Here is a 21,505-nt window from a genome sequence, read left to right as displayed (position 1 = left end):
GGCCTAAAACATTTTTTAGTGGACACAGTGTTCATTTGTGTGGCTATTTGTTTTACCAACATTTAATTATGAAAACTTTCAAATATACAGAAAAATTGAGAGATTTGTACAGTGAAAACACATCTATTTGCCACCTCAAGTCTATAATCAACCTTTTACTATATTTGCTTTATCACATATCTATTCCTCTATCCAACTTGCTCTTTTAAATACATTTCATCCTATTCAACATAGTACTGGAAGTCCTAGCCAGAGTAATCAGTCAAGAGAAAGGGAAAAAAGGCATCCAAATAGGAGGAGAGGAAGTCAAGCTATCTCTCTTTGCAGATGATTTTATACCTAGAAAACCCCATAGTCTCTGCCCAAAAGCTCCTAGATCTATAAACATCTTCAGCAAAGTTTCAGTATACAAAGTCAATGTACAAAAATCAGTAGCATTTCTATACACCAACAACAGTCAAGCTGAGAGCCAAATCATGAATGCAATCCTATTCACAATAACCACAAAAAATACCTATTAATACAGCTAACCAAGGAGGTAAAAAATCTGTCCAACAAGAGTTACAAAACACAGCTGAAAGAAATCAGAGATGACACAAACAAATGGAAAAATATTCCATGCTCATGGACTGGAAGAATCAATAGTGTTAAAATGCTCATACTGCCCAAAGCAATTTGCAGATTCAATGCTATTCCTATCAAACTACCAAGCACATTTTCACAGAATTAGAAAAAAAAATATTCTAAAATTCATATGGAACCAAAAAGAGACCAAATAGCCAACACAATCCTAAGCAAAAAGAACAAAGCTGAAGGCATCATACTACCTGGCTTCTAACTATACCATAAGGTTACAGTAACCAAAATAGCATGGTAACAAAAACAGACACACAGACCAATGGAACAGGCTTAAGAACCCAGAAATAAAGCCACACACCTATAATTGTCTATCTTCAACAAAGTCAACAAAAGCAATGGGGAAAGTACTCCCTAGTTGCTGGGATAACTGGCTAGCCATGATTGAAACTGGATCCCTTCCTTTCACTATATACAAACATCAACTCAAGATGGATTAAAGACTTAAATGTAAAACCTAAAACTATAAAAACTCTAGAAGAAAACATAGGAAATACATTCTGGACATAGGCCCCGGAAAAGATTTTATGAGAAGACACCAAAAACAATTGTAACAACATCAAAAATTGATAAATGGGAACTAATTAAACTAAAGAGCTTCTGTACAGCAAAAGAAACTATCAACAGAGTAAACAGATAACCTAGAGAATGGGAGAAATATTTGCCAACTATACATCCACAAAAGTATAATATCCAGAATCTATAAGGAGCTTAAATCAATAAGCAAAAACAAACAACCCAATTAAAAATGGGCAAAGGACATGAACAGACGCTTCTTAAAAGAAGACATATATGTGGAAAAACCATATGAAAAAATGTTCAACATCATTAATCACTAGAGAAATGCAAATCAAAATAATAATGAAATACCATCTCACATCCATCAGAATGGCTATTAAAAAGTCACTGGGTACAGTGGCTCATGCCTGTAATACCAGCACTTTGGTGGTTGAGGTGGGAGGAGTTCAAGACCAGACTAGGCAACACAGTGAGACCCCATCTCTACAAAACAAAATTTTTTTAAACTTAGCTAGGTGTGGTAGCATGCACCTGTGGTCCCAGCTACTTGGGAGGCTGAGGTGGGAGGATCACTTGAACCTGGGAGGCAGAGGTTGCAGTGAGCTGCAATCATGCCATTGGACTCCAGCCTGGGTGACAGTGAGACCCTATCTCAAAAAAAAAAAAAAAAAAAAGTCAAAAAATAACAGATGCTAATGATGTTGTGGAGAAAAGGAAATATTTATACACTGGTGAGAATGTAAACTAATTCAGCCACTGTGAAAAGCAATTTGGAGATTTCTCAAAGAACTTAAAACAGAGCTACCATTGTAACCAGCAATTTCATTACTGGTCATATACCCAAAGGATATAAGTTGTTCTGCTATAAAGACACATAAATGCATATGTTCATTGCAGCACTATTCACAATATCAAAGACATGGAATCAACCTAAATGCCCATCAACAGTGGGCTGGATAAAGAAAATGTGGTACATATACACCATGGAATACTATGCAGCCATAAAAAGAATGGGATCATGTACTTTGCAGCAACATGGATGGAGCTGGAAGCATTATCCTAAGTGAATATACACAGAAATAGAGAGCTAAATGCCACATATTCTCACTTATAAGTGGGAGATAAACACTGAATACATGTGGACACAAAGAAGAGAACAACAGACACTTGTTGAATAAATAATAAAGTGGTTAAGTTATCTTGAGTGCATACCATGGGGCATATACTGTTCTTTGTGTGTGACATAGATAGATAGATACGTAGATAGATAGATAGATAGATAGATAGATAGATAGATAGATAGATAGATAGAGATAGAGATATACAATGTGCCTTATGTGTATCATGTTACTTCACCAGGTAAACAACCCTATGAGGCAGATAGTGCTACTGCCATTTATATTTTACGAAGGAAGAAATTGGGGCGCAGAAAGGCTAAGTAACTTCTCTCAAGTCAACAGCTAGACAGTTGCGAAATTGGGATTTGAACCCAGGGTGTCTGGCTCCAGAGCTTGTCTTCGCAACACTACACTGCTTCCTACACCGAGGCAGCTCTTCTGTAAAATGTATTAAACATAAGCTTCAGGGACTCTCCCTCGGCCGGGCCCCTTCTAAGTTCCTGGAAGGGGCCCTAGTCATGTGTTCAGAGGTTGTGTGCTTTTTCTAAAATTTGCAAGACCAGTATTTTTGTCCAAACTGGTTCAGACTGCTGTCTGTTTCCACACCAGCTTCCCCTGTTACAATTCTCTTATGCTAGAGGGTGTTGAAACACTACAGCCATTTCTGGTATCAAGCAAAAATTGGGATAATATTTAATTTGGATTTACTGGGTGATGTTTCCTACGGTTGCCATAACAAATTACCACAAACTTGATGGCTTAAAACAATAGAAATTTCTCTCTCACTGTCCAGAATCACAGTGTTGACAGGGTTAGTTCTTTCTGGAAGCTCTAAGGGAAAATCTGTTCCATGCCACTCTCCTAGATCCTGGTGGCTGGCAGCAACCATTGGTATTTCTTGGCTTGTAGATGGATCACTCCAATCCCTGCTTCTGTCTTCACATCACTTTCTCTTCTGTGGCTCTCTTGCCTGTCTCTAAAAAAAATTATTTTTTATTAAAAGAAGATTTTTAAAGACAACTGTCACTAGATTTAGAGCCCACTCTAAATCCAGGATGATCATTATCTCAAGATAATTAAATCTACAAAAATCTTTTACCAAGTTGGGTCACATTTGCAGGTTCTACAGGTTAGGACACAAATGTATCTTTTTGGGAGGCCACGATTCAATCTATATAGTGAGCTCTAGTTGTATATTCTGCAAATGTTCCTATGTGTAGTTAATTATTGCTTGATATACTGGTATGAGAGTGTCTTCTAGGGATATGACCAGTGCCTACTCGCTTTGCCACCTGACCCAGCATCATGAAGCAAAGTAGGATAAGAGGTTGTGTTGCAAAATGGGTATGTCCTACAATGCCCAGCACCAGAAGTGTCTGAGTAAGGAAGGCAAACAAGGTTTGAAATGTGTGGCGCCAGACACTTATCTGTGGAAGGCTCCTTTAATTATTGGGTGTGTAAAATTGTACATGGAGAATTCAGTTCTCATACAAAAAAATGGAACTTCTTACTTGTCAGGAATATAGTCGGTTATGTCTTTAAGTCATACAGCTCATATATGGAAGAAACTTGGTAGCAGTTTCCCAAACTAGATAACAATCTTAAACATTTATGTAACATTATCAATGAGTTTTTGAAACCAAAGCAAATTTTTTAAAGCTATGAATAATAATTTTTTAAAACAAATTTTGATCGCCCATGCTAGAGGAAAGACTGAATTGTATTTTTAGTTTAAGATGCGGATATTATCAAATTGATATCATATGAAGATGTAATCACAGAGTATGAAGCCAAGAAATGTGTTTAAAAAAAAGTGTTACAGATCAGGTACAGTGGCTCATACCTGTAATTTCAATACTTTGGGAGGCCAAGGCAGGAGGATCATATGAGCCCAGGAGTTGAAGTCCAGCCTGAGCAACATAGTGAGGCCCTATCTCTACAAAAAAATTAAAAAATTATCCAGGTATGGTGGTGCACACCTGCAGTCCTAGCTTCTCAGGAGGCTCAGATAGGAGGATTGCATTAGCCCAGAAAGTCGAGGCTGGAGTGATCTGTTATCCCACCACTGCACTCCAGGCTGGGCCAAAGAGCAAGATCCTGTCTCAAAAAAAATGAAAACCCAAAAAGTATTATAGAGGGATAGGCTAAGCAGTTAACCAATCAAAGAGGGTTTTTTTTTTTATGGATTTTGTGGTGTTTGCAATATTTGTGAGCTTTATAGAAGTTATAATTTGACATGATTTCTTTTCTTGTCCTAAATAAATAATCATTTTACTGCCTAATATTATACTCGTAATTTTATAATCTCTTTCTTAAGAAGAGCCCTCCTGAATGTATAACCTTCAGGCCCCACAAAGCCTATTCTTTCACCTTTAAATAACACAGGCCCTACCCTCAAGGAATTCACAGTTAGAGCCTGCACAGATTACAGTAAAAGCATCATTCTGGGTAAGACTTCATTCCTCCAGGAAGTAATGCAGCCCTCCCTGCTTCATGCACCAGCACATCAGATAAACATTCTCCCAAGTCCAGAATAATTATATCTTTCCTTTTTTTTTTAAACAGTATAAAGAACATTTTTGCTTAACCTGTTTGAGGATAAGTTGTCAACATGATGCCTCATTATTCATGAATATTTTAGAATGCATTTCCTACCACAAAGAATGTCTTAGCTCATTCAAGCTGCTATAACAAACTAGCATAAATTGGGTGGCTTATAAATAACAGAAATTTGTTTCTCAAAATTCTGGAGGCTGGGAAGTCCAAGATCAAGGTCCTGGCAGCTTTCTTGTCTGCTAAGGGCCCAATTCCTCACAGACAGCTATCTTTCCATTGTAACCTTACTCACCTCCCAAAGGCCCCACTTTCTAATATCATCATCTTGGGGGTTAGGATTTCAACAAATGAATTTGGGGGCCGGGGGAACATAAACATTCAGTGCATTGCAAGGACTTTTTCCTGCCAACCACAATGTAATTAATGATCAAAACAAGAAACTGACTTTGAAATATTACTGCTAAACAGTCTACACATCTATTCAAATTTCACCAATTGTCCCACTAATGTTATTTTTCAGTTCCTTGAACCAATCCAGGATCCCACATTGCGCTTAGCTGTTAATGTCTCTTCATTGGTGATTTTAACCTTGATCACTTGATGAAGATGGTATGGTATCTGCTAGCTTCTCCACTGTAAAGTCACACTTTTTCCCTTGGCAAGATGCTTTGAAACTAAGTAAAATTACTCATAAAATTTTGAATTATTTATTTTTATCAAATGGATTCGTGGATTCCCATTTTATTTAATGTGTTATAATCTGTTACTATCCTTATTTCAATGCTCAAATTGTCCCAGATTTGGCCAATGGGAGCTCCTTCAAGCTAGTTTCTATGTCTCTTTGACAGAATAGATATTATTCTTTCAGCATTTCTTCATTCTCTGGCACAGTAAAGTATTCTAGGTTTATCTTGTATTTTTCCTTCCTTCAGGCCTAGAACCAACCATTTCTCTAAGGAGCCCTGGTTCCTGTTAGGAAAGAAAGGTGTTTAGAAACTAAGATCTGGATGCTAGATATGCTCATTGCTATTGGGGTGTTGCTCTTCCTAGCCCCACTCAGTGGACAGCCCTAAGAAATATACTCCACACACACACTTCTATATCCATCTATGTATACTGAAAACTTTAAGTTCACACTAATACCTCTAATTCTAATCCAATACTCCAGCATTCACTCTAGTTTCATCTCTTTCCATTTTGGTGGTGGAGGGGGTGGATTGTTTTTTGAAGCAGGGGTTCTCTCTGTCATCCAAACTGGAGTGCAGTAGCATGAACATGGCTCACTGCAGCCTTGATATCCTGGACTCAAGCCATCCTCCCACCTCAGCCTCCCAGGTAGCTGGGACTACAGGCATCTGCCATCCCACCCAGCTTATTTTTATTTTTTGTAGAGATGGGGTTTCACCATGTTGCCCAGGCTGTTCTTGAACTCCCGGGCTCAAGTGATCCTACCTCAGCTTCCCAAAGTGCTGGGATTATGGGGATTAAGACGTGAGCCACTGTGACTGGCCCATATTTTTAACTTCTTTCTCCAATAGTGAGAAACCTGGTTCCCATTTTCTTCAATCCATTTACTCACTATATAAATCCCTTTGCATGTTAACCAATATCCTGTCACTGCCACATTCCCTCCTTCCCAAAACTTCTATAAATGTTCTTCTAATTCCACTTGGGTTCTGACACCCTCTGCTGGGTCATCCCTGATGTCAAAGCTCTCCTCACTCCTTTGGTGCCTGACATCTGTGTCACATACGAACATTTTCTTTCCCTCTTGGTGCATCAACATACCACCCAAGACCACCTAACATGTAGATGTCCTTGTCCATCTTTCTGGGCTCTGACACCCTGTCCTGGATCGCCCTTCCATGGAGATGACCTCCTCACCCCATTCAGGCTCCTACATCCTATGCAGATGCTCTTCCCACCCCTACTCAGGCTTGGACACCCTCCACATCAAGCATCATAATAGTAATAAGGTATTGTAAGATATCCCCCTGATATTAGGACCAAGTCAAGAATGTCACTATCATTACTTCTGTTTGACATTATACTGGGATCTGAACTGAAAAGAAATAAAAGGTATAAGTACGGGAAGGAGAAAATGAAATTGTTCATTATTAAGAGACTACATGACTGTGCATGCAGAAAGTAAAAAGTACTGGACAGAAAGAACAAATGAGTTTAGCAAGGTCACTAGATACAAGGGTCAGTATTTTAATGATTAATTTTATTCTATATATGAGCAATAACAATTGGAATTGAAATTTTAAAATATTACTGATATAGCATCAAAAAAATCAAATACCCAGGAATAAATCCAGTGAAAGATATTCAAGATTCTACACATGAAACCAGCAAACATTACTGAGAAAAATTAAAGAAAATCTGAATAAATGGAGGAAAAGAAACCATGTTAGTGAATTATAAAACTCAAGAGTGTTAATTTTTCCCTAATTTATTACTACATTAAATGTAATCCTAACCAAAATCTTAGTAGATGTTTCAATGGAAATTGACAGGCTGATTCTAAAATTTATATGGGGCTGGGCGCAGTGGCTCATGCCAGCACTTTGGGAAGTAATCCCAGCACTTTGGGAAGCCGAGGCAGACGGATCACTTAAGTCCAGGAGTTTGAGACCAGCTTGGCCAACATGGTAAAACCCTATCTCTACTAAAAATACAAAAATTAGCCAGGCATGGTGGTACACGCCTGTAATTCCAGCTACTAGGGAGGCTGAGGCACGAGACTTGCTTGAACTTGGGAGGTGGAGGCTGCAGTGAACCAAGATGATGCCACTGCACTCCAGCCTGGGCGACAGAGCAAGACCCTACCTCAAAAAAAGAAAAGAAAAGAAAACAAATTACGTGGAAGTAAAAAAAATTATGTGGAAATCAAAGAGTCACAATAACAAAGACAATCTTGAAGAAAAATCAGCTGGAAGCCTTATTTACTAGATATCAAGGCTTATTATACATCTGCTATAATTAAAACAATATGGTATTGGTCCAAGGATAGACAAGTAGAGCAGAAGAGAGAGTCTACGAATAGATCTCCAAACTTATGGGCACTTGATTTATGATAAAGGTATGTTCCAATGCCCCCAGGAAAGGATGATTTTCTTCCTTTTCAATAAATAGTGCTGGAGTGGCCAGGCGCAGTGGCTCATGCCTGTAATCCCAGCACTTTGGGAGGCTGAGGCAGGCGGATCACCTGAGGCCAGGAGTTCGAGACCAGCCTGGCTAACATGGTGAAACCCCGTCTCTACTAAAAATACAAAATTAGCCAGGCGCAGTGGCAGGTGCCTGTAATCCCAACTACTTGGGAGGCTGAGGCGAAGGTTGCCGTGAGCCGAGATCGCACCATTGCACTCCAGCCCAGGCAACAAGAGTGAAACTGCGTTTCCAAAAACAAACAAACAAACAAACAAACAAACAAACAAACAAAAAACAGTACTGGAGTAATTGTAAATTGTCATCTCTAGCTCATTCCATACACAAAAATCCATTCTATATGGATCATAGACCTAATAAAGCTTCTCGAGGATACCATAGGAGAGTATTTTCATGACTTGGCGTAGGCAAAAATTTCTTAAACAGATCATAAATCACCAGCCATCTCAAAAACAATTGATAAACTAGGCTGGGTGCTGTGGCTCACGCCTGTAATCTCTGCACTCTGGGAGGCCAAGGTGGGCAGATCACCTGAGGTCAGGAGTTCGAGTTCAAGACCAGCCTGGCCAACATGGCGAAACCCCATCTCTACTAAAAATACAAAAATTAGCCGGGCGTGGTGGGTGCCTGTAATCCCAGGTACTTGGGAGGCTGAGGCAGGAGAATCACTTGAACCCAAGAGGCGGAGGTTGCACCGAACTGAGATTGTGCCATTGCACTCCAGCCTGGGTGACGAGTGAAACTCCATCTCCAGAAAAAAAAAGAAAAGAAAAGAAAAACAAAAAACAATTGATAAACTGGACTACATTAAAATGAACTGTTTACCAAAAGCCACAATTTAGGAGTAAAAACGAAACCCAAAGAGTGGGAGAAGAAATTTTATATATAAGCTGGGTGCGGTGGCTCACGCGTGTAATCCCAGCACTTTGGGAGGCTGAGGTGGGCAGATCACTTGAGGTCAGGAGCTCAAGACCAACTTGGCCAACATGGTGAAGCCCCGTCTCTACTTAAAGATACATAAATTAGCTAGGCATGGTGGTGCACGTCTGTAAGCCCAGCTACTTGGGAGGCTGAAACAGGAGAATCACTTGAGCCCAGGAGGTGGAGGTTGCAGTGAGCCAAGATCACGCCACGGCACTCCAGCCTGGGTGACAGGGCAAGACTCTGTCTCAACAACAACAAAAAAAAAAAAAAAAAAAGAGAGAGAGAAAGAAAAAGAAATATATACACTAAAGGACTGGCTCCAGAATATGAAAAGAATTCCAGAATAGAAAAAGAATAGATCCATTAGAAAAAGACAGATAACTCAATTTTTAATATGGGTAAAGGGCTTTAACAAATGTTTTTTAAGTGGAGATGTATAAATGGCCATTGAGCTTTTGAAAAGGTACTAAACCTCATTAAACCTCAGGAGAAATGTAAATTAAATCCATGATACAATTCCACTACAACCCATCAAAATGGCCAAAATGAAAAAGACAGAAAATATCAAGTGTTGGTGAGAGTATGAGCAATCTTATACTCTGCTAGTGAGGGTGGGAACTGATACCAACGCTGTGGAAAAGACTCTTTTGCAGCGTCTACTAGGGCTGAACATGTATATATCCTGTGATCCAGCATTTTCACTCCTAGGTTTATACCCAACAGAAATGCACACATGTTCATCATAAGACACATATTAGGATGTGTTTAGCAGGGATATTTGAAAAGGTCTCATACTGGAAGTTTCCTTAATGCTAATTTTATTAGTTATCTATTGCTGTGTTAAAAAACAAAAACAAAAACAAAAAACAAAAAAACACTCCAAAACGTAGTGACTTCAAATGCTAAACATTATTAATCTGATAGCCTCTGAAATCAGGAATTTGGGAGTAGCGTAGCTGAATGGCTCTGGCTCAGGGACCTTCATGAGGTTACAAAGGGGCTATAATGAAGGGATCACAGTCATTTAAAGACCTGGCTGGGGCTGGCATACCCACAGGCAGACCTCTTCTGGGGGGCTGTTGGCAGGAGGCCTCAGTTCCCTGCTGATTGGAGGGTCTGGGGACTCAGTGCCTCACCACACAGGCCTCCCCATGGTATTCAGGCTGTTCCCTTGTTTTGATTTTCCCCTTCAGGGATTTCCATTTACTGTGTGCTGAGTCTTACTTTCCTGTGGTGGTTAATATTAGGTGTCAACTTGATGAGATGGATGCCTAGATAGCTGGTAAAGTATTGTTTCTGGGTGTGTCTGTGAAAGTGTTGCCAGAGGAGACTGACTTTTTTTTTTTTAATTTTATTATTATTATTATTATTATTATTATTATTATTTTAATTGATCATTCTTGGGTGTTTCTCGCAGAGGGGGATTTGGCAGGGTCACAGGACAATAGTGGAGGGAAGGTCAGCAGATAAACAAGTGAACAAAGGTCTCTGGTTTTCCTAGGCAGAGGACCCTGCGGCCTTCTGCAGTGTTTGTGTCCCTGGGTACTTGAGATTAGGGAGTGGTGATGACTCTTAAGGAGCATGCTGCCTTCAAGCATCTGTTTAACAAAGCACATCTTGCACCGCCCTTAATCCATTCAACCCTGAGTGGATACAGCACATGTTTCAGAGAGCACAGGGTTGGGGGTAAGGTCACCGATCAACAGGATCCCAAGGCAGAAGAATTTTTCTTAGTACAGAACAAAATGAAAAGTCTCCCATGTCTACCTCTTTCTACACAGACACGGTAACCATCCGATTTCTCAATCTTTTCCCCACCTTTCCCCCCTTTCTATTCTACAAAACCGCCATTGTCATCATGGCCCATTCTCAATGAGCTGTTGGGTACACCTCCCAGACGGGGTGGTGGCCGGGCAGAGGGGCTCCTCACTTCCCAGTAGGTGCGGCCGGGCAGAGGCGCTCCTCACCTCCCGGACGGGGCGGCTGGCCAGACGGGGGGCTGACCCCCCCCACCTCCCTCCTGGACGGGGCGGCTGGCCAGGCAGAGGGGCTCCTCACTTCCCAGTAGGGGCGGCCAGGCAGAAGCGCCCCTCACCTCCCGGACAGGGCGGCTGGCCGGGCAGGGGGCTGACCCCCCCACCTCCCTCCCGGACGGGCGGCTGGCCGGGCAGAGGGGCTCCTCACTTCCCAGTAGGGGCGGCTGGGCAGAGGCGCCCCTCACCTCCCGGATGGGGCGGCTGGCCAGGCGGGGGGCTGACCCCACCTCCCTCCCGGATGGGGCGGCTGGCCGGGCGGGGGGCTGACCCCCCCACCTCCCTCCCGGATGGGGCGGCTGGCCGGGCAGGGGGCTGACCCCCCCACCTCCTTCCCAGATGAGGTGGCTGCCGGGCGGAGACGCTCCTCACTTCCCAGACGGGGTGGCTGCTGGGCGGAGGGGCTCCTCACTTCTCAGACGGGGCGGTTGCCAGGCAGAGGGTCTCCTCACTTCTCAGACGGGGCGTCCGGGCAGAGACGCTCCTCACATCCCGGACGGGGCGGCAGGGCAGAGGTGCTCCCCACATCTCAGACGATGGGCGGCCGGGCAGAGACGCTCCTCACTTCCCAGATGTGATGGTGGCCGGGAAGAGGCGCTCCTCACTTCCTAGATGGGATGGCGGCCGGGCAGAGACGCTCCTCACTTTCCAGACTGGGCAGCCAGGCAGAGGGGCTCCTCACATCCCAGATGATGGGCGGCAAGGCGGAGACGCTCCTCACTTCCCAGACGGGGTGGCGGCCGGGCAGAGGCTGCAATCTCGGCACTTTGGGAGGCCAAGGCAGGCGGCTGGGAGGTGGAGGTTGTAGCGAGCCGAGATCATGCCACTGCACTCCAGCCTGGGCACCATTGAGCACTGAGTGAACGAGACTCCGTCTGCAATCCCGGCACCTCGGGAGGCCGAGGCTGGCGGATCACTCGCGGTTAGGAGCTGGAGACCAGCCCGGCCAACACAGCGAATCCCCGTCTCCACCAAAAAAATATGAAAACCAGTCAGGCGTGGTGGCGCGCGCCTGCAATCGCAGGCACTCGGCAAGCTGAGGCAGGAGAATCAGGCAGGGAGGTTGCAGTGAGCCGAGATGGCAGCAGTACCGTCCAGCTTCGGCTCGGCATCAGAGGGAGACCGTGGAAAGAGAGGGAGAGGGAGACCGTGGGGAGAGGGAGAAGGAGAGGGAGAGGGAGAGGGAGAGGGAGAGGGAGCGGAGACTGACATTTGAGTCAGTGGACTGGGAGAGAAAGTCCCACCCTGAATGTGGGTGGGCACCATCCAATCCGCTGCTCGGTGGCTGGAACAAAGCAGTGGGAAGAAGGTGGGATAAGCTGGCTTGCTGAGTCTTCTGGCTTTCATCTTTCTCCTGTGCTAGATGCTTCTGTTCATTCCTCCTGCCCTTAGACATCGGACTCCAGGTTCCTTGGCCTTTAAACTCTTGGATTTACACCAATGGTTTGCTGGGGGCTCTAGGGCCTTTGGCCACAGACTGAAGCCTGCACGGTCAGCTTCCCTGCTTTTGAGGCTTTTGGACTCAGACTGAGCCGCTACTGGCTTCTTTCTCCCCGAGCTTGCAGACGGCCTATCATGAGACTTCGCCGTGTGATGGTGTGTGCCAATTCTCCCTAGTAAACTCCTTTTCATATATACATACGTCCCTCTGGAGAACCCTCTGGAGAACCCTAATACATTGCCTATCTTCATAAAATTACAAATATTTGTAATTTTCTCTTTCTTTGAATTGTTTTCATCTCTTTTAAAATTTCATTTCAATTTTTCATAATTTCCTCCTTTTCACCTTCTATTTCTCTTAAGGCATCTGCTGTGTTAAGTCACTCCAGTGTTCTTTCAATTTAGTCTTCCTTTTTGAAATTACTTTTCCTTTCATTTCTAAATTTATTCTGAATCCTGTCAAATCACATTTCAGAGTTTTTCTAACTCTGATTTATGGTTCTCCCATGTCTTGCATTATTCTTGATGTGTTTTATCTTTTTTTTTTTTTGAGATGGAGTTTCGCTCTGTCGCCAGGCTGGAGTACAGTGGCATGACCTCGGCTCACTGCAACCTCCGCCTCCCGGGTTCAAGTGATTCTCCTGCCTCAGCCTCCTGAGTAGCTGGGACTACAGGCGCCCGCCACCATGCCCAGCTAATTTTTGTATTTTTAGTAGAGACAGGGTTTCACCATGTTGACCAGGATGGTCTTGATCTCTTGACTTCATGATCCACCCGCCTCAGCTTCCCAAAGTGCTGGGTTTACAGGCATGAGTCACCACACCCGCTCTTTTTAAATAGTTATGGTTCCAGAGGTTTTTTTTTCTTCTTCTTCTTTTTTGAGACCGGGTCTCTCTCTGTTGCCCAGGCTGGAGTGAAGGTGTGCCATCATAACTCACTGAAGGCTTGATCTCTTGGGCTCAAGCAATCCTCCCACCTCAGGCTCCCAAGTAGCTGAGATCACAGGCGCATGCCACCATGCCTGGCTATTTTTTTCAAATTTTTCACAAAAATGGGATCTCGCTATGTTGCCCAGGCTGGCCTTGAACTCCTGACCTCAGGTGATCTGCCCGCCTTTGCCTGCCAGGTGTGAGCCACTGCACCCAGCCAATGTAGGGATTTAGAGTAACACATTACACCACTGCTATAACTTTCTTCACAGAATTCTAATATTCCAGATATTCTTGTAAATGGTGGTTGTGTTCACTTTGTAAAGGTTCACTGAGCTGTGCCCTTCATGTGTGTGCAGTTTGTTCTATGTATATAAATTAATAGGAAGTTAACCCCCATGTTAGTCAAGATTCTCCAGAAACACAGAATCAATAGGATGTGTAAATGTGTATGTATCATATTTGGAAAGAGAGATTTATTTTAAGGGATTGGCTCATGTAATTACAGAGGCTGGCAAGTCCACAATCTCCAGAGCAGACCATCAGCCTGGGGACCCACGAAAAAGCCAGTGTTGGAGTTTGTCTGAAGGCCATCTCAAAATTAGTCATCACACCCCCAAAAAAGAACCTTAATTTGGGTTTATAAATGAGACTTAGAGATGCTTAGTAACTTGTTCAAGGTCACTCAGCAAAAAGGTAATGAACTCAAAAGCAGAACTTGGCTCTCACTGAGGCCAGAGTTTGTGCTATTTCCACTATATGAGGCAAAGGATGTTCTATTGGGGTCCGGTCCCATCTTCATGGCTACTTTGCAGGTAGGTTCAAGGCACCATCCTCCTCAATGGGTAGCGGCAATAGCTCCAGATTGAGCCTACTGCTTTTACCCTCCATACAGCAGCTAGAAGTGTATCAGTTTGTCACATGTGGTCTGAGTTTAATAGTCCAGGGCTGCAATGACTGTTCCATGGTGAGGGGATCCAGTTTCCCTCTATTTTGTTGCCTTGCCATCCTCAACATATGGCTTCCATCTCCTGGCCTAGGATGGCTCCTCCAGCCCCCACCATCATGACTGCACTGGAGCCAGTGAGAGGAGAATAGGAGGAAATGGAAGCCTGCACTTACTTCTCACAGCCCATTGGCCAGAGCAATTGGCTAGGTTGTTTTGGTCACATGGAAAAGCTTATATGCAAAGGAGTCTGGGAAGTGATTTTTAATTGGATAGCCGCATGCTGAGCCTAAACTTAGGGGTTCCAATATTAAAGGAATAAAGGGGGGAAGTGAATATTGGGGGACAACTGACACTCTGTACCACAAATGATTTTCTGTTGCTCTTACAGAAATACTTTCTATCTCCTCCGTGGCTTTGCCCTGCCTGGCGCCTGCTTGCTGCTCCAGCCTCCCCTCCCAGCACACTCCCCCCACTCTCTGCCCTCCAACCACATGGTGACCTTTCAGTTCCTTGAGTGTTCCATGCTCCCTCCCACCCCAGGGCCTTTGCATGAAACATTCCTTCTGCCTGGAACGCTCTTCTCCTGTATCACCTAGTTAACTCCTACTCATTCTTCAGATGTCAGCTCAGCTGTCATTTTCTCCGGCAGGGCTTCTCTGATTCCATTCTAATGTATGTATTTTTTTTTGCCTCTGATCTGCCATGAATCTTTCCTCTATAACATTCCACTCAGTTATAATTGTATACCTATTTAATAACCATTTAACTAATTACCATCTCTTTCTCTAGACAGTAAGTCAATAAAGGACAGATCATCTTGGTTTTGCTCATTGTTGTATCCCTAGCACCTAGCAGAGTGCCGGGGACAAATATTTGTTTTTCTTGAATGAATGGACAAAGACTCCTTAAAATTGTCTGGATGATACTGACAGGACAATTTCAGCTATGTGGACAAAGTCTCAGACTACATGGCTTGATCCAGAGATCTGTTTTTAGTCACTGTAGAGACTCTGGGCTATCTAGGGCCTCCTGTGGACAGAGCGAGTTGTTCAAGTTCCACCTCATAAGGCTTGATTCTAACATTCATTGCATTGCACTCTTGCTCCCTGACTGCAAATAGATTCTGCCAGGCTTTTAGCTTGTTGCTCTGATGAGGTTGTATTTACAAAAAAAGAAGTCAGGCAGGTTGAATCCTGCCAAATTGCATCTCTACATAGAAAGCCCCACGGCTGCATCATGTGAATGCCTGGCTGCTCTGCAATTCAGGGCTTGGAATTTCTAGAGGGGAAAGCACTTGAGAGTGCCCACTAGAGTTAATACGGAGTACACGGGGGAATTTCTGTAAGTCAAAGATTTACCTCCTGCCTCTGCATTTTTCTAGGTCCAAACACAAAGGCCTCCCGACCTTAGAGTTCTGCGTCTGGATGTTTTTGGCTACAAAACCAGAAAACTCCTTCTCAACTGGCTTAAACAGTGAGTTTTGCATCACACATCACAAGGAGGCTGGAGGTAGGGCAACCCAGGGACTTTTAATTGAGCAGTTTGCATACTCCGTGGAGGACTTGAATTCTTTCCATCCCTGTTTTATATGTGTGGTTCTGCCCTTGCTTTTTTCATTTGACAATATATCCTTGAAATCATTTCCAACAGGATGGAAAGAGCTACCTTATTGTTTTTAGATTGAATAGTGTTCCATTTTAAAGAGATATCATAATGTACTTAACCAATTCCCTTGTAATGAGCACTTACTTTTTTTCCAATCTTTTGCTGTTACAATGATGTGATGAATACTCGTACATAAGTTATTTTACATGTGACTGAGTGCATCCAAGGATAAATTCCTAGAAGTGAACTTGCTGGGTCACAAGCTATATGCCTTTGTAATTCTGGCAGATGTTGCCAATCTGCCTTCCACAGGGGTTGTACCAATATACTCCCCTCCCCAAATGTGTACAGGAGCACTTCAAGTCTTTTTGACACCTTAACTTAAACATAGGCTAGAAAAAATATGGCAGGTGTCTGGGTGATTTCTGCATAGAGAAACAAAGATGGGTTGTTTATCAACTCAGTCTTTTTAGCTGGCACCAACACAAGCCTCAGTGCTTTTTCAATAAATTAGTAATCTCTGTGGACTCCCCTGCCCTCACAATTGTCAGGGTACTAGGCTGTCCATGCACAGTCCACATTTCAGAACTTAGTATCTGCAATTAGATCATTCTGTCCACAAACTACTCCTCTCTAGAGGTCTTTTCTCCCCATCTCCACCTGGCAATCTCCTAGTCCTCCCTCAGGCCCAGTTGAGATGCCCCCTTCCTCCATTAAACATTATCTGACACCCCTAGGCAGAATTAGCCACTCTTCTTTGCTCCCGTGGAATTTTGTTCACACCTCAATCATGGCACGAATCACTTGTAATGTAATTATCCACTTACCTGTTCATCTCCCACATTGCATGCCTTAAGGATAGAAACTTCATCTTCATCTCTGGGCCAGCGCTTCTACACATGGTACCTGGCACATAAACACTTCACAGTAAAGCTTGCTGAAATGAAATCAGGCAGGGGCGCAGTTTTGTGGTGCCTGGTGGCAAAATCAAACAGTATTTATTTTTTCCCTTTTCTGGTAGTATCAATGAAAAGGTAAAAAATATGGCACTTCTGAGTATTTCTTTCTATCTTTTTGTGTTCCTGGACTTCTCCTTCTCCTGGAATCTGTCCTGTTCTCAGTGCCTAGAACAATGCCTGGGAAACAACAGGCATTTCATAAATAAATGTTGGATGAATGGGTATCTTTGATCAGAGGAAGCTTCCAAAATGCAGCTGATTTTTTTTTTTTTTTTTTTTTTTTTTTGCCTGCTTGATGTGCCCAAAGGGTATTTCCAAGTCTTTCCAAACCCTCAAGCATGGACCCTCATTTGCCAGTTCTGTGTATTTGGGTTTTATTTCACCTCGAGTTAATGCATGTAAAAGTGCTTAGAACAATGCCAGCCACTTAGTAAGCATTCAATAAGTGCTGACTATTATTTTTTATTATTATTCCCACTAGCCCAAACATGCTCCCATCAGTCCACCCCTTGTGCTGGGCTCTTCATTTCTCTCCCCACCAGTTAATGCGGCCTCAATCCCTGGAAAACATCCATGTAAGCACTCATGTTTCAATTTACCAACTGTGTGACCTTGAGCCAGTTACTTAATCTCTTGGAGGCTCAGTTTCTTCATTTGAAAAATAGGCATTATCTTAATATCTACCTCTAGATAGACATTAGATAGACATTGTTATGAGGATTAAAGAGCCAATCCATAGACACTGCTTACCATCATGCAGGGCTCAGAGTCGGCATTTAGCCAGCATCATGATCATGATCATGATCATCATCATCATCATCACTGCAGATGCCAAACACCTTCCATCTCTTCTTTCTGGGAGGCTCATTCCCACAGCTCTTCTGGCTGATGGTAAACCTTTAACTGGTTCTGAAGTTTGGGGCATCACCAAGAAGCTTGTGTTGACCATGTGATATGGTTTGGCTCTGCATCCCCACCCAAATCTCATCTTGAATTTTAATCCCCACATGTCAGGGGAGGGGTCTGGTGAGAGGTGATTGAATCATGGGCATGGACTTCCCCATTGCTGTTCTTGACTGTGAGTGAATTCTCATGCGATCTGGTTGTTTGAAAGTGTGTGGCACTTCCCCTTCACTCTTTCTCTCTCCTGCTCTGCCATGGTAAGACACGCTTGCTTCCCCTTTAAGTTCTGCCATGATTGTAAGTTTCCTGAGGCTTTCCAGCCATGCTTCCTGTTAAGCCTGCAGAACTGTGAGTGAATTAAACCTCTTTTCTTCACAAATTACTCAGTCTCAGGCAGCTCTTTATAGCAGTGTGAAAATGGACTATACAGAAAATTATTTATAACAGCTATAAAGATATCTGAAAATGTGGAAGCAACTTTGGAACTGGGTAACAGGCAGAGGTTGGAACAGTTCGGAAAGCTCAGAAGAAGACAGGAAGACGTGGGAAAGTTTGGAACTTCATGAAGATTTGTTGAATTGTTTTGATGAGAATGCTGATAGTGATATGGACAATGAAGTCCAGACTCAAGTGGTCTCAGATGGAGATGAGGAACTTATTGAGAACTAGAGTAAAGGTCACTCTTGCTATGCTTTAGCAAAGATACTGGTAGCATTTTTTCCCCTGCCCTAGAGATCTGTGGAACTTTGAACTTGAGAGAGATGATTTAGGGTATCTGCTGGAAGAAATTTCTAAGCAGCAAAGCATTCAGGAGGTAAACTGGCTGTTTCTAAAAGTGTATGCTCATATGCATGAACAAAGAGATGATCTGAAACTGGAACTTACATTTAAAAGGGAAGTACAGCATATAAGTTTAGAAAATTTGCAGCCTGGCCATGTGGTAGAAAAGAAAAATCCATTTTCTGGGGAGAAATTCAAGCCTGCTGCAGAAGTTTGCATAAGTAAAGAAGAGTTAAATAGCCAAGACAATGGGGAAAATGTCTCCTGGGCATTTCAGAGACCACTGAGGCAGCCCCTCCCATCACAAGCCCAGAGACCTAGAAGGAAAAAATGGTTTCATGGCCCAGGCCCAGGCCCCAGCAGCTCTGTGCAGCCTTGGGACGTGATGCCCTGGATCCCAGCCACTCCAGCTCTAGCCATGGCTAAAAGGGGCCAAGGTACAGCTCGGGCCATTGCTTCAGAGATTGCAAGCCCCAAGTCTTTGGCAGCTTCCATGTGATGTTGGGCCTGCAGGTGTGCAGATGGCAAGAGTTGAGGTTTTGGAATCTCCACCTAGATTTCAGAGGATGTATGGAAATGCCTGGATGTCCAGGCAGAAGTCAGCTGCAGGGGCAGAGCCCTCATGGGCAGTGCAGCGGGGAAGTGTGGGATTGGAGCCCTGACACAGAGTCCCCACCAGGGCACTGCCTAGTGGAACCATGAGAAGAGGGCCACCGTCCTCCAAACCCCAGAATGGTACATCCACTGACAGCTTGCACCATGTGCCCAGAAAAGCCACAGGCACTCAATGCCAGCCCATGAAAGCAGCTATGGGGGCTGTACCCTGCAGAGCCACAGAGGCAAAACTTCCCAAGGCCTTGGGAGCCCACCTCTTGCATCAGCATGCCCTGGATGTGAGACATGGAGTCAAAGGAGATTATTTTGGAGGTTTAAGATTTAATGACTTCCAGCCAGGGACAGTGGCTCACGCCTGTAATCCTAGTACTTTGGGAGGCCGAGATGGGTGGATTGCCTGAGTTCAGGAGTTCAAGAACAGCCTGGGTAACACGGTGAAACCCTGTCTCTAATAAAATACAAAAAATTAGCTGGGCATGTCAGCATGTGCCTGTAGTCCCAGCTACTCGGGAGGCTAAGGCAGGAGAATTGCTTGAACCCAGAAGGTGGAGGTTGCAGTGAGCCAAGATAGCACCACTGCACTCCACCCTGGGTGACAGAGCAAGACTCTGTCTCCAAAAAAAAAAAAAAAAAAAAAGATTTAATGACTTCCTTGCCAGGTTTTGATCTTGCATAGGACCTGTAGTCCCTTGGTTTTGGCCAATTTCCCCCTTTGCAATGGGAGCATTTACCTAATTCCTGTATTTCCATTGTATCTTGGAAGTTACTAACTTGTTTTTTATTTTACAGGCTCATAGGCGGAAGGGGCTTGCCTTGTCTCAGATGAGACTTTGGACTTAGACTTTTGAGTTAATGCTGGAATGAGTTAAGACTTTGGGGGACTGTTGGGAAGGCATGCTTGGCTTTGAAATGTGATGACATGAGATTTTGGAGGGGCCAGGGGTGGAATGATATGGTTTGGCTCTGTCCTCACCCAAATCTCATTTCGAATTGTAATCCCCACATGTGGGGGGAGGGGCCTGGTGGCAGGTGATTGAATCATTGGGGTGGAGTTCCCGCTTGCTATTCTTGTGAGAGTGAGTTCTCACAAGATCTGGTTGTTCAAAAGTGTGTGGCACTTCCCTCTTCACTCTCGCTCTTTCCTGCTCCACCACGGTAAGACATGCTTGATTCCCCTAACCCCTCCACCACAATTGTAAGTTACCAGCCATGCTTCCTGTTAAGCCTGTGGAAATGTGAGGAAATTAAACCTCTTTTCTTCATAAATTACTCAGTCTCAGGTAGTTCTTTATAGTTAAAATGGATTAATATATCATGTGTTGATGAAGTTCCTGTTATTCCCTCCTTACCCTCCTACGTGGATTATCTAAAGATATTTATTTCACTCCCACAAAAATGTTTTGTTCTCACCCATTCCCGAGAGCTGAAAGTAGGCTGTGGGAACTTTGAGTGAGAAAATAAGAGCAGCCTACTCCCCCTGACCATATTCCTGCCTGATGGCCAGTATTTGGGTGACACTTCACCCTGCCACCAATTTTTTGAGTCCTATTTCCCACAGACTCTGTGTTAGTCCATTCTTGTGCTGCTATAAAGAAATACCTGAGACTAGGTAATTTATAAAGAAAACAGGCTTTGATTTGGCTCACGTTTCTGCAGGCTGTACAGGAAGCATGGTGCCAGCATCAGCTTCTTGTGAAGGCCTCAGGAAGCTTTCAATCATGGCACAAAGTGAAGGGGAGCCAGCACATCACATGGTGAAGAGAGGGCGCAAAAGAGAGAAGGGGGAGGTCTCAGATTCTTTTAAACAACCAGTTCTCATGTGAACTAACTGGGAGAGAACATCACCAAGAAATGGTGCTAAGCCATTTGTGAAGGATCCACCCCCATGATCAAATCACCTCCCACCAGGTCTCACCTCTAACAGTGACGGTTACATTTCAACATGAGATTTGAAGAGGACAAACACCCCAAACATAACAGACTCACTTGTGACTTTGCCCTGTAAACTTTCAGGGAAAATGAGGTCACTTCTGACCCAGAGACTCTGTCATCTTACCCTCTCCTGGGGGTCTTCATCTAAAGAAGTAAGTGTAAATTCCTTACTGATCCAGTTTTGTATGTGTATGTGTGTGTATACACAAAATTTACTATATAGAAAGTAAATTCTTCTACTATATATATGCATTATATATATACACATTATAATGTATATATATAATGTATATATAAATATATATAATTGTGTGTGTGTGTGTGTGTGTGTATATATATATATATATATACAGTAGAAGAATTCAGAGGTGTTAGAAATTATGAAGAGGGGCCAGGCACGGTGGCTCACGCCTGTAATCCCAGCACTTTGGGAGGC

The 21,505-nt window shown here is 43.5% G+C and overlaps 2 long non-coding RNA genes across 2 annotated transcripts in view; one reads left to right on the top strand and one right to left on the bottom strand.

Moving 5' to 3' along the window:
• Window positions 1-2,938: 2,938 nt before the first annotated feature.
• Window positions 2,939-18,019, bottom strand: LOC124907984 (uncharacterized). The gene is made up of 2 exons (XR_007088091.1): window positions 16,708-18,019; window positions 2,939-3,249 (listed from the first exon to the last, which is right to left on the bottom strand). It is a non-coding gene; the product is annotated as an uncharacterized LOC124907984 (long non-coding RNA).
• The window catches only part of LINC01494 (long intergenic non-protein coding RNA 1494), a 29,824-nt gene continuing 20,592 nt past the window's right edge, over window positions 12,274-21,505 (top strand). Inside the window, exons 1-3 of the long non-coding RNA NR_110238.1 lie at window positions 12,274-12,553; window positions 15,657-15,748; window positions 21,151-21,221. This is a non-coding gene — a long non-coding RNA (long intergenic non-protein coding RNA 1494). The remainder of the gene's footprint in view (window positions 12,554-15,656; window positions 15,749-21,150; window positions 21,222-21,505) is intronic.

This window comes from Homo sapiens, chromosome 2, assembly GCF_000001405.40.
Source record: "Homo sapiens chromosome 2, GRCh38.p14 Primary Assembly".
Taxonomy (NCBI): Eukaryota; Metazoa; Chordata; class Mammalia; order Primates; family Hominidae; genus Homo; species Homo sapiens.
Note: the sequence above shows the minus strand (reverse complement) of the source record. Positions and strands in the feature narration are given on the sequence as shown.